This window comes from Homo sapiens, chromosome 9, assembly GCF_000001405.40.
Source record: "Homo sapiens chromosome 9, GRCh38.p14 Primary Assembly".
Lineage (NCBI taxonomy): Eukaryota > Metazoa > Chordata > Mammalia > Primates > Hominidae > Homo > Homo sapiens.
In genome coordinates this window covers 5,727,834-5,741,582 of record NC_000009.12, presented here as the reverse complement: position 1 = coordinate 5,741,582, position 13,749 = coordinate 5,727,834, and the positions used below count along the sequence as shown (strand labels likewise).

At 37.1% G+C, this 13,749-nt stretch overlaps 1 protein-coding gene across 14 annotated transcripts in view; it reads right to left on the bottom strand.

Moving 5' to 3' along the window:
- RIC1 (RIC1 partner of RAB6A GEF complex) overlaps nt 1-13,749 on the bottom strand; it is a 149,527-nt gene that overhangs the window by 37,051 nt on the left and 98,727 nt on the right. For 13 of the 14 annotated variants that reach the window (XR_428426.4, XR_007061331.1, XR_007061330.1 and 10 more), the window contains 2 exons: nt 9,104-9,195; nt 3,045-3,133 (listed from right to left, as the gene is read on the bottom strand). Coding sequence is in view for 9 of the 14 variants with exons in the window: in NM_020829.4 (NP_065880.2) it covers nt 3,045-3,133; nt 9,104-9,195 (181 nt within the window). In the remaining 5 variants the exon portion in view is untranslated. Of the gene's footprint in view, nt 1-3,044; nt 3,134-9,103; nt 9,196-13,749 lie in introns of those variants that run through there. The other variant, XM_011517967.3, reaches the window with a different exon arrangement.

The window sequence follows — 13,749 nt, the reverse complement described above, 5'->3', positions numbered from 1 at the left end:
CAAACAACATTATTAGGCATAACTGGAGAGGATCAGCAAACCTAGATGGAGAAAAAATTTCTAGAATGCAGTCTAGAGAAACAAAATTTTAAAAAATTTAAAGTTAGGTTAAGAAACATGGAAAAAAGTGTAATGTATATCTGAGTTCCAGAAAATAGATTAGGGGAGAGGAATATTTAGAAATACTGGTTGAGAATTTTCCAGAAATAGTTCAAAGATGTAAATCTTCATCCAGCAAGCCTAAGTCTCAAGCAGGATTTGAAAAACAAACAAAATTCTTCCCTTCCACATCACAGTTGAACTGCAGAAAGCCAAAAACAAAGACAAGATCTGAAAGGTAGCTATAAAGACCAATCTATTGAAAAGAGAAGACAACTTGACAGAGGACCTCTCAATAGCTGCAATGGAAATCCAATGGCACTGGAACAAATTCTTCAATGTATAAAAAGAAAATAACTGCCAATCCAAAACAGCACACCAAGTTAAACTATAATTAAATCACAGCAGCAAAATAAGTACATTTCAGACTCTCCCAAAGTAGAGTTTACCTTCAAAAAACTTCATTAAAAGAAATTCCAAGGGATGTATGGGAGGTTTTTCAGGCAGAAAATGGTCTCAAGAAGAAGGTATGAGTTGGTCAAAGATATGGTGGGCAAAAATACTGGTATAAATGTGGGTAACACTAAGTCAACATGAATAGTTAAATATCCTAATTGTGATGGTTAACACTGAGTGTCAACTTGACTGAATTGAAGGATACAAAGTATTAATCCCGGGTGTGTCTGTGAGGGTGCTGCCAAAGGAGATTAACATTTGAGTCAGTGGGCTGGGAAAGGCAGACCCACCCTTAATCTGGGTGGGCACAATCTAATCAGCTGCCAGTGCGGCTAGAATATAAGCAGGCAGAAAAATGTGAAAATAGAGACGGGCCTAGCCCCCCAGCCTACATCTCGTGTGCTGGATGCTTCCTGCCCTCAAACATCAGACTCCAAGTTCTTCAGTTTTGGAACTCGGACTGGCTCTCCTTCCTCCTCAGCCTGCAGATGGCCTATTGTGGGACCTTGTGATCATGTGATCATTTATTAATACTTAATAAACTCCCCTTTATAAATATGTATGTATCTATTCTATTAGTTCTGTCCCCTAGAGAACCTTACTAATACAGATATTGGTACCAGGAGTGATTCTAGAGGTACAGAATATTAAGGATGGAGTTCCTTCATTGGTTTTGGGGTTTCTAGAGTTGGCTGCCTAATATCATTAGACCCCAAAATGCTAAGGACTCTATTTCTAATAGTACGCACTGACAGTCCTTGACGTGAACTGTTTATATAGAGTTATGCAAAATAAATGCATTTGGCACTCCTGATTCATTGCTTGTGAGACGCAAGGAGTTTAGTGACTCTATACATAACACCTTTGACCATATGTGGAGAATCAAGGAACATAATGAAGCTAGTTGGTTGCTCCTAAGTTCAGTGAACAAGGTGATGAAAGAAAATGATGAACTCAGGGATTCCATCTCCCAGAAGCAGATACTGAGCCTCAAAACTGCTAAGATTGCCCTGAGTGAGGGTCTTATCTCCTATAGAGAAAGAGCTAAAATTGTGGAAACACAGAGACAAACTCTTATCATTTGAGTGGCTGATCTGCAACAAAAGGTGCATGCACAGCCTCACCAGGTGTCTACTGTTAAAGTGAAGGCACTGATTGGAAAAAAATGGGACCCTGCAACTTGGAAAGGGGATGTGTGGGAGGACCCTGATGAAGCTAGATTCACTGAGTTTGTAAACTCTGGTGAACCTTTTTTTTTGCCAGAAGAAACAGCTTTCCCCATCCCCAATAGTGGCAACATCCCCTCCTGGACCCATGCTGCCATTAGCCCTTCCACCTTTGTCTGAGGATTATAAACCCTGTGCTGCCTGAGGCAACAGTGATGCCCTCCCCTGAGGCAGTCGCCAGGCAAGATAATGTTGATTCTCCTCAGGAGCCACTCCCAACACCTCTGTTTGCTTCTAGACCTATCAATAAAGTCCTGGCAGGCCTCTAGAGGTGAGGTTGAGAGTATGACCCATGAGGAGGTGCACTATGGGAACTGCTTGAGTTTTCTAATTTACATAAATAGAAATCTGGAGAGTAGGCATGGGAATGGATATTAAGGGTGTGGGATAATGATGGAAGGTACACAGAGTTGGATCAGGCTGAATTTATTGATTTGGGCCCACTAAGTAGGGATTCTGCATTTAAAGCTGCAGCTCGGGGAGTTAAAAAAGGTTCTAATAGTTGATTTGCGTGGTTAGCTGAAATATGGATTAAAAGATGGCCCACTGTGAGTGAGCTGGAAATGCCTGATCTCCCTTGGTTTAATGTAGAGGAAGGGATCCAAAGGCTTAGGGAGATTCAGAAGGTGGAGTGGATTAGTCACTTTAGACCTACTCATCCCAGCTGGGAGGGTCCAGAAGATATACCCTTGACTGATGCCTTGCAAAACAGATTTACAAGGGCAGCAGCTACATCTTTGAAGAACCCTATAATTGCACTTCTCTGTATGTCAGATCTAACAGTGGGAACCTCAGTCACTCAACTACAAAATTTAAATACAAAATGGGAATAACTGGATCCGGAGGTAGCAGGGGCCAAGTGACGGCACTCAACTATCAAAGGTAAGGTGGGCGTAGCTACTGTAATGGACAGCAGAAGCAAAGCAGCAATCAGAATAGTCTGACTTGTGTAGAACTTGGGCATTGGCTAATTAATTATGGTGTTCCTGGAAGTGAAACTGATAGGAAGCCTACTGCATTCCCACTTAATTTATACAAGCAGAAAACTTCTAGGTCAAATGGACAAAATACTAATTTGAATTATTAAAACAGAATCACGGCCCCTCAATCAATTTCCAGACTTGAGCCAGTTTACACACCCAGAGCCCCAATATTTGACCTATAGCATGACATGTATTGTTTAACTTAAAATCAGCATCTGCTACAAATGGCAATACCAGTACATTAAAAATGTTAAAAAAAAAAAAAAAAAAAAAGACTCACCAGGATACTGTTTTGCTGTTAGCTCTAATTTATGAGATAGCAGCATGGCTCCAGTGCTGTTATCTATTGTATAGACCTGCACAGAACCACTGTGAAAACAACAACGAAAAACTTTTAGTGAAAAAAGACAAATACAAATAGAAAAAGCATTATAGAACTCTTATGTTTTGCTGGTGGGAGTGTAAACTAGAACAAAACCACTTTGTCAATAAGTTGCAGTCATCTCATAAATTTGAACAAAGGCATATTCTAATCTAGCAATTTCACTTCCAGATATATCCCAGAAATTATTGTCTAATGTTTACTAGAGATATGTACAATGTCCATTGTACTATTGTGATAATTTTTAAAAAAGGAAATAGCCTATCTAGCAACATGAGGAAAAAAATGAACTTTTATTTGGCTATAGTACATATGGTATAGCAATATAATACTATACCTTACAGCACTGAAAATGAATGAACTTTAGCCACATGGATAGCGAATACAGTTAACCCTTGAACAACATGGATCTGAACTGCATGGGCCCACTTATACATGTATTTTCTTCTGCCTCTGCCACACCTGACATACCTCCTTTGCCTCTTCCTCAAGCCTACTCAACATGAACACGGTGACAATGAAGACCTTTAAGATGATCCACTTCCACTTAATCAATAGTAAGTACATTATTTCTTCCTTATAATTTTCTTAATAATCTTTTCTCTTACTTTATTGTAAGAATACAATATATAATATTAATATATATAAAATAAAAAGTATGTGTTAATTGACTATATTGTCAGTAAGGTTTCCAGTCAACAGTATGCTATTAGTAGTTAAAAGTCTTGGGCGAGTCAAAAGTTATATGTAAATTTTTCAACTGTGTTGGGGGGTTGGTACCTCTAACCCCTGGGCTGTTCAACGGTCAACAGTATATACGTTTAAGATATAAAACATGTGTGTGTGTAAAAGCATAGTAAATATAAACATACATATTTGATATATATATAGTAGATATACAGTATTAATAGTAAATATATTTGTGGTAAAAATACAACAAAGAGTTAATGTATACAAATTTCAGATTAGTGATACTCTGGTGGAGAAGGGAGTATCAAAGAAGAGGGGTAAACAGGAGGCTTCATCAGCACTGGTGATGTATTATTTCTTATGTTGGATGGTAATTTATAAACATTTTATTTTTAAAATCTATATGCTTTTTTGTGTATATGGTATATATAATTACTTAATTTAAAACATCTTTACAAGGGTCAAATTTCTGAAGGGCCTGAAGCCAGAAGTAAAATCTCTATAATACGTCTAAGCCACATTTCAAAATTGAACTACGAGGATAACAGAAAAGTCTCATTTCTGCTCATGGTATATTCTCAGTTCAAAAATTTAATGCACATTCAGCATTTGAAAATGAGGCTCCTGTTTTAGATTACTTATGCAACATTTATAGTGAGAAAGAGAAACAAATGTTCTTAAAGACACTTTTTAATATAAGAATGCTTTTGCACATAATAGGATGACACTGGTTTATGACTACCAGATTGTTTTTTTTTTTTTTGGTGGTAGGAGAAATCAGATGGTTTCTTCACAGCAGCTTTGATCCATTCCCATCCAGGTCCTACCTCTTCTCAAGGATTAGAACTGGGACTAACTAAAAGACCTGCAATAGTAGCCTCCTTAAAGTTGTCCCACAGCTTACTGATACTCTGTTTTTGTTTTCTTTTTTTTCTGTGTTCCATTTTGGATAATTTCTGTTTTTCAAGTTCATTAATCTTCTCTTCTGCAATGTCTAATCTGTTGTTAGTTCCATACAGTATGTTTTTCATCTCAGACATCATAGTTTTCACCTCTAGAAGTTTAATTTCAGTCTTTTTCTAATATCTTCCATGTCTCAGTTTAATATTCAAGAGAGACCCTCTACAGCTCTCTGAAGTTCTCTCTTTGTGCCACCTCTTTGGTGTCTATATTATGAACTCTAGCTGCCTTGGTTTTCCCAGATTCTCTGATTTCCATGTGCTTATCTCAGCTCAGGATGTATCTCCCCAATCCTGTGCTGCAGCCTACAAACACTCAAAATAATAAAAACTAAGGGCAGTTACAGAGAGATAATTTTGTTTCTCATCTTTCAGAAATCACTGTCCCTTGTTACCTTATGTTTGTGTTCTGAATTCAAAACAGCTCTTTCATATTTTTGTCCGTTTTCTTGGCTGTATCAGGTGGGAGGGAAAATGTCATCTGTCATTCAATCATACCCAGAAGCCAAATATCTGAAAAAGATTTCTTTCCAGACTACCTGCCCAAATAGATCAACTCTTGCTGAGAGACAGCACTAAGTGGGTAGCAGGTGTTTGTTTTTGCTTTGCATCTGACAACTGTCAACTGCTAACCCTGGGTTGCTGAGCTCTAAAATGTTAGTGAGGAGTCCATGTTTTAAATATAAGAAGTAGGTGCTAAGTTACTACTTATAAAAGTCTGACAATCTTTTAGGTATTCTATAGTGCTTGTATTCTTTAAACTACTTTTCCTTCCATTTCTCACCAGCCCAATGTAACAGAAAAATATATTTTCATTAAAAAGACAGGACTTACTAACTCCAAAGCAAATCTCTATAAGAGAGATATGACTATTATCACCATAAGTGATCAAATTTAGTGTCATTAATACTGAAACAACTTGACATTATTACTAAATGATACCATAGGAAATATATATCATCACCCATGACAAAATGTGTAACCAGAATCTAGTAATACCTTTAAATATTTAGGTTAACAGGAAGGTTGTTAAAATACTGATCTGCTGCAAACTGGCATCCTAAAAGGAAGCTGGCTTCTTACACAACTCTAAGGACACCAGCTATCACCTAGTGTTCAAGGTAATTAGTCCTGATAAGTGTTGGCAGATCTGGACTAGCAGACACTGGTTTGTTATGTCAACAGCTAGAATCACAAAACTTTAACCCTAACCCATGGGCATGCTAGAAGAGAACTTGTAGTCTCGTAGCTGATGAAAACTGAGGTGACTGAAAAGCTATAGGCCAAGAGTCTACCTACATTATCCTGGGAAGGGCTAGTACTTCCCAATCATGTAGCTTATAAGCCCATAGCCTAGGGAGGAGTACTTCTTCTGGATTCTAACACCCACCCTTGTGCTGGCCCCAAATGCAGTAAATGGAACTGCACACTTGCCACTGCTTCTGTCTCTGTGTATTTTCTCTAAATACTTTTCCATGCCTGATGTGTGGGCTTTCTAGTCACTTGACTGTATTGCTCAACAAGAACTAGCTTCCAGGTTAGTCACGACAGGTGTCAGATAAACAAGGTAAATGCCATCATGAGGAAACAATAAGGCAAATCTAGGATGCAGGATATTCTATAAAGAATCGACTCAGACTCAAAAAAAGTCAATGTCATGAAAATAAGTGGCATAAGGACTATTGTAGTTAAAAGGTAACTAAAGAGAAATAATAACCAAATATTATTAATGAATCTTGATCGATTCTGTTTGGAACAAAGGAGCTATAGAAGAAATTTAGCTGGTGGCAACTGGGTTAATTTGCATATAAATTGGGTATTAGATCCTATTAGGGATTTATCATTAATTATCTCATGTGATAAAGATATTCCAATTATACAAGAGAATGTCTCCTTTTTTAGAAACCAAGAAATAAGGCAAAAGTATGTCAACAGCAAAGTGGATAAATTATGCTATATTCAGACAATGGAACGTTATTTATAAACCAATTTAAAAAATGATTACAACTACTGGTAAATGACATGGATGAATCTCACAATGTTGACCAGTTACTAAGTGAGTCAAGGAGGGAATAAGAGTTGTGACTAGGAAGTAGCAGAGGCAGTTTGTGACTGGAGACCAGTAATGTTCTATTTACTGATCCAGTTGTGAAGAGATGGGTGTTTCTACTACAACGTTAAAACTATGAATATCTGGATTATGTACTACTTTGTATGCATATTTTTGTTTCACAATGTGAAATAAAAAGGGTATTATAAACTTTATGCCAGTAAGTTTGAAGGTGTATAAGAAAGAAACCAATTCCTGGAAAAAATGCAACTTGCCAAAATGACATAGGAAGAGATACAAAATCTGAATCTTCTTAAATCTATTTTTAAAACTGGGCCGGGCCCAGTGGCTCACACCTGTAATCACAGCACTTTGGGAGGCCGAGGTGGATGGATCACGAGGTCAGGAGTTTGAGACCAGACTGACCAACACAGTGAAACTCCGTTCTACTAAAAATACAAAAATTAGCCGGGCATGGTGGTGCATGCCTGCAATCCGAGCTACTCAGGATGCTAAGACAGGAGAATCACTTGAACCCAGGAGGCAGAGGTTGCGGTGAGCCAAGATCACGCTCTTGCACTCTAGCCAGGGCGACAGAGCGAGACTGTCTCAAAAAATAAAATAAAATAAAATAAATATATATATATATTTAAAATATATATTATATATATTTATAATATTTAAATATATATATCTAAAATATATACATTATATATATGTATATTTTTAAAAACTGAATTGAATCAGTAGTCCAAAAAAATCCACAATAAGAAAATTCTAGGTCTAGATGGCTTCTCATTGGCAAATTCTACCAAACATTCAAAGATGAATAGAGAAGACAAAGAAGGGAGGGATTCTCATAACTTGCTTTATGAGACAGCCATAACCTTACTCAGAAGAGTAAAGAGGAAAATTATAGGTGAAATGTATTCATGAACATACATTTTAAAATTCTAAACAAAATATGACTGAATCCAATCCACAAACATTAAAAAAAAGCTTTTCCTTCTCTCTTGTACTAAGTTAAACTTACTCGTATTTCTACATTTAACTGCTCAATGAGGATCAATGTATTGAGAAAAAGTTGAGGATGAGGATTCCCTACTTTACAAAGAGTTTATTAAGAGTGTAATGAAAGTGATTTATGTGAATTATTTATACTAATAAAAAAATCTGGCCGGGCACGGTGGCTCACGCCTGTAATCCAGCACTGTGGGAGGCCAAGGCGGATCACAAGGTCAGGAGATCAAGACCATCCTGGCCAAACACGGTGAAATGCCTGCTCTACTAAAAAAATACAAAAAAAATTAGCTGGGCATGGTGGTGGGCGCCTGCAGTCCCAGCTACTCGGGAGGCTGAGGCAGGAGAATGGCGTGAACCCAGGAGACGGAGCTTGCAGTGAGCTGAGATCGCTCCACTGCACTCCAGCCTGGGCAACAGAGCGAGACTCCATCTCAAAAAAAAAAAAAAAAAATCTTTGATACTTAAATTGGGTGGTGATGATATGGCTGGAGACTATACTAGATATATGTTCTATAGAACAACCAAGTCTCATTTTGAGGGCAACATAGGATTTTTTATTTAAGAAAGAGTTTAGAAAACTAAAAAGCACTATATACATTGCAAGGCATTATAACAACTAATATAATCGTTTTATTTTAGCTAAAATTTATGAGCTAAAATTTAAGCTCAACCAAGTTCAGTATCTTTGTTTTCTAATGTATCAAGTGCTTAGAACTATGGCTGGTATGTGATAGGCATACAGATACTTGTTGAATAAATAATTTTATTCAATTTTTTTCTAAAATCTCTATTTAATAAACTAAGGCAAGAAACTGGTTTTATATGTGCACTTTAAATTTGCTTGTTAACTAAAGCACACTCACTAATTTGAAGGCGTCATGAATGCTGATGTCTTAAAAATTAAGATTTAAAAAAATCTTCCAAATCCTCTTTTAAACAATAAAGAACCTAAACTTTAACTGATTTATTCTGTTTAACTTGTAACTCAATTTTCCACCACTGAAGAAAACGCTAACTTTTACAAATTAACATGCTCAACCTCCAAAATCTGCCCTTTACTTTTGTTTGTTTCAATCTAATAAAATACTTTTACATTTCATATTAAGGTTGACTGATAAATTATGATAGCATGATGCAGTTTATAAGTATGTTAGGAACATCTTATGTTTACAAAAAAAAAAACCAGTATTTTTTGCAACAACTCTTAAAAATGCAAAAGCCTACATCAATTATACCTCACACAGCCAAATGCCATTAGTCGATACTTGTTATTTACTGCTACACACGTTCCGTCAACAACATCTTGTGGCCAAACTCCATGAAGCTGCTATAATAAAGAAAAATAGTTAAGGCTTAAAAAGTGTTTCTCCAAATTTACCGTAGTCAATATAATTCTCCTTCAATAAACATACAATTTCATAATGCTTTATTTGGTTTCATCTGCAGAGGAAAATATCCCACCAGGACTACCACAATAGTCTCCCTTAAAATACTACCAAATAGTCTCCCTTAAAACCTCAAACTTCTCATGAATTGGTCTGATAAATACTCAGCTCAGTCCAGTGCTAGTTAATTTATTTAAAAAACACTAAAATATGGAAATTCATCTCCAAATTCAAATAAAGATGACTTTCTTGTTAGAATGTAAACATTTTGACAGCGGAAACAGCATCTAACTTGCTCACTGTAATTATTCTCATCACCTAGCACATAGTATTTAACTTCTCAGTCAGTGAAAAGTAGTACATTCTGTTTGGTTTATTCTTTAGAAGCAAAATTGCTTACTATTCTCTACAATTCCCTTCTTTATAGTGTAATGGTTAATAGCATGGTATCTGGAAGCCTGACAGCTCAGGACTGCTTTCACTCCTCAAAATAAGTATTTGATCTTTTTTAAGCTTCAGTTTTCTTATCGTATTTACCTCTCAGGGTGTTTCAAAGATTAAATGAAGATACACATGTAAACTATTTAGGACAATGCCTACCATTCAACAAGCATTCAATAAATAAATGACATTATTAGTAAGCATATATGCTATTTCCATATGCCATCTCCATATATAGAGAATAGATTCAGCTCAGTTGTTTGCTCCTATCTGTCAAATCACAGACATTTTAGATGATAAATTCCAAGGCAAAGGTCATAATCATTAGTTCAGTTAGCAGAAAAAGTGGCACACTATAATATAGCACTTTATTTTTGGATGATCCTAATAGTAAACATTAAAGATACAATATAATCACAACTATATGAACTAGAATCCTACAGATTTCATTTAATTCCACAATCAGCTATATAATCTACTATCTAAACACGGAATCTTTGCTTTAGTAGGAATTGTATCTTTTAATTTTAATAATAAAACTGGACATTTTATGTCACAAATGGTAAAGACAGCAGTGAGCATTATTTCTCTGAACTGCTGCTTAGACTGAAATTCAGTCCTACAATAAGTATTTTCTAGGTGGTTACCATTCACCAGGCACTGCTCTAGGTGCTGAGGCTATACTAGCACACCAAAATCTCTACTTGTATGCTTGCTTTACATTTGAGTCAAGAGACAGACAAGTTAAAAAAGTATATTGAATACTGGAGGTTAAAAAATACTATACAAAAAAAATTAAGCAATGCTGGTGAAGAGGGAGTACAGGGGAAGGATGTAATATTAAACAGGTTTCCCTATAAGGATGCCTTTTGAGGAAAGTCCTCAAAGAAATAAAACAAGTGTAAAAGCCCTAATGTAGGAGCATTTCTGGCATGCTCAAAGACCAGCAAAGAAGCCTGTGTGGATAGAGTGAAGTGGATGGGTTGTGAAAGGAAAGTAGTATATGTGGTAAGAGATGTAACAGGAGGTCAGATAATTAGGGCTTTGAAGGCCACCATAAGAATTTTGGCTTTTTCTTCAAGTTATATAGAAGAAGAATATTCAAATTTTTTAAACTTTTCTGTCATGAATTATAATAAAGAATACATGAAAATGAAATGTACATCTCAATATCACAAAGCAAACACTTGTGGAATTGCTACTCAGGCCAAGAATCATGAGTACCCAAAAGTCTCCCAATAGTGCCCTTCCCAATCACTGTATCCTCACACCCCTACAACAAAAAATATCCAGATTTACATGGTAATCACCTCCTTCTTTCTTTTAAATCATTACCACTTAAACATGCACCCATATATACTCTAATTTAGAAATGCCTACATTATTTGCCCTTTAATTTTTACCTAAAATGGAATCATAGCATGTATTCCTTTGTGTCTAGCTGTTTTTTGCTTACCATGTCTGTAAGATCTATCTGTGTTGTTGCATATAGCCTAATTTGTTCATGTTCATTGTAGGCTTAAATATTGGGCTTAGCTCACTGGATTGCTGGCCTCCCTTAGTCTGGCAACTCTTTACTGTCTTGTTTGCTCTCTAAGGGCTTCAAGCATATTAAAAAATATATTTTTTCTCCAGCTCTTTTAGTCCTCAGGAGGTTCTGTCCTAATAATCTAGTCCTACTGAATGAGTCTCCACAGAGGACTGACATAATCACATTTTAACACATCTGTTAAATGTCATTTAGTTATTTCCCTATTACCATTAATACATAGGTACTGTTTTCTTGTAATTTGTATTTTCTATCTATACCTTATTTAGTAATGCCCATCTGCTTTTCATTAGTTTTTAAATCCTTAACTTATTAGAAAAAATTATTTAATTACATACTAATAAACACTGAGAATATATTTTGTACTAACTCTAAAGTACTTGGAAAAGAGTCAATCACTTTTTCAGCTCTAATATTTTTATTTCCAGTCTAAACATTTAAGTCCCAAAGATAATTACAAATATATATGCACCTTATAGGAAAAAAAAAAGAGTTTTTTCTAATTCATCAAAAGTTTATTTTTATTCTTATTTATGTTCTGACACAGGTGATCACAAATACATTATTTAGTACCTTACTATCTGAATAAAGTTGATAACGGAAGATAGTAGATAGGAATATTAAAGTTGATACCAAACAGAATGACAACAATTAAAAAAGGCCATTAAAAACTTAAATTCCTTTCCAGTTAAAGAGAGATGACTGAATATAAATATTTAGCTTCTTGGACTCCTAAAACTGTAACTTCTAGAAGAGAAAAGAGTTTTTGTTTAAAAAAACATAAAGCAGCAAAGACAAAAATAATAGGAGGCGGCATTAGAAAATTTTAGAAGCTGGAAAGCATATCAATGAGTAGAATCCTTAACTGACAGGGAAGAATGCTGAGAAACGTCTAAATTTAAGTTGTAGGGTACACGAAAGGCTTGGGAATTCAGGGGTCTTTGAAAGGCTAAATTAAATGTAGTAGAAGTGGTTCAAAACCTACTTAAAGAAGCAACCAGGTCCTCCCAGAGCACTTCCCCAAAGCTGAGCAGCCAATAAATACCCTACCTCCACTCCTACGGAAAACTGGATATTTTTCTTTGGAGAAAAACAAAACAAAACACCCCCACCCCTACCACCTCCACCAGAGGCCTATGGACCACACTGAAAACAGGGATAGAAAATAAAGGTTCACATCTTGAATTTGGACCCGCTAGCTTAACTCTTCTGTAACTCAAATCCCAGAATACTGGGGTAGCCAAGTATATATCCTCTAGAAAGGACTGCAGGACTCTTTTCCAAGGAACACTGGAGACAGAGAGGGGAGAGGGGAGCAGAAGGGAGGGACAGAGGGAAGGGTATGGCTCTAAAGGTAGGAGGACCCCCAAGTAAATAACTCAGTCAGCTCATCCTATGGTAAAGGACATAGTAAACCAAACGAACCAAAATTCACAGTTTTCAATAAATTATTTTAATTTTAGGTCTCTGTCACAGCAGCCAAATCCATATATTAATTAGCTATTAGCTATTAAAAGATCCGACACAAATAAGAGTAAAGGGAATCTCAGGATAATTATGACAGAAGGCCAAAAAACAGCTGTGTTAAAGATTATAGTAAGCAAGCAGTCTAATTTGGAGCAGGCCAGAAGGCTCCCAGAGAAATTTCTTTAAGAAGATGAAATGGGAGGTTCCAAGATGGCCAAATAGGAACAGCTCCAGTGTACAGCTCCCAGCATGAGTGATGCAGAGGATGGGTGATTTCTGCATTTCCAACTGAAGTACCAGGTTCATCTCACTAGGGCTTGTCAGACAGTGGGTGCAGCCCATGGAGTGTGAGCCCAAGGAGGACAGGGCATCACCTCACCCGGGAAGTGCAAGGGGTCGGGGAATTCCTTTTCATAGCCAAAGGAAGCCATGACAGATGGTACATGGAAAATCGGGACACTCCCACCCTAATACTGCGCTTTTCCAATGGTCTTAGCAAACAGCACACCAGGAGATTATATCCTGCGCCTGGCTTGGAGGGTCCCATGCCCATGGAGCCTTGCTCACTGCTAGCACAGCAACTCAGATTGAACTGCAAGATGGCAGCGAAGCTGGGGGAGGGGTGTCTACCATTGCTAAGGCTTGAATAGGTAAACAAAGTGGCAGGGAAGCTCCAAGTGGGTGGAGCCCACCGCAGCTCAAGGAGGCCTGCCTGCCTCTGTAGACTCCACCTCTGGGGGCAGGGTATAGCTGAACAAAAGGCAGCAGACAGTTCTGCAGACGTAAATGTCCCTGTCTAACAGCTTTGAAGAGAGTAGTGGTTTGCCCAGCACGGAGTCTGAGGTCTGAGAACAGACAGACTGCCTCCTCAAGTGGGTCCCTGACCCATAAGTAGCCTAACTGGGAGACACCTCCCATTAGGGGCCAACTGACACCTCAATCCAGCTGGGTGCCCCTCTAAGATGAACCTTCCAGAAGAAGGATCAGGCAGCAACATTTGCCGTTCTGCAATATGTGCTGTTCTGCAGCCTCCGCTAGT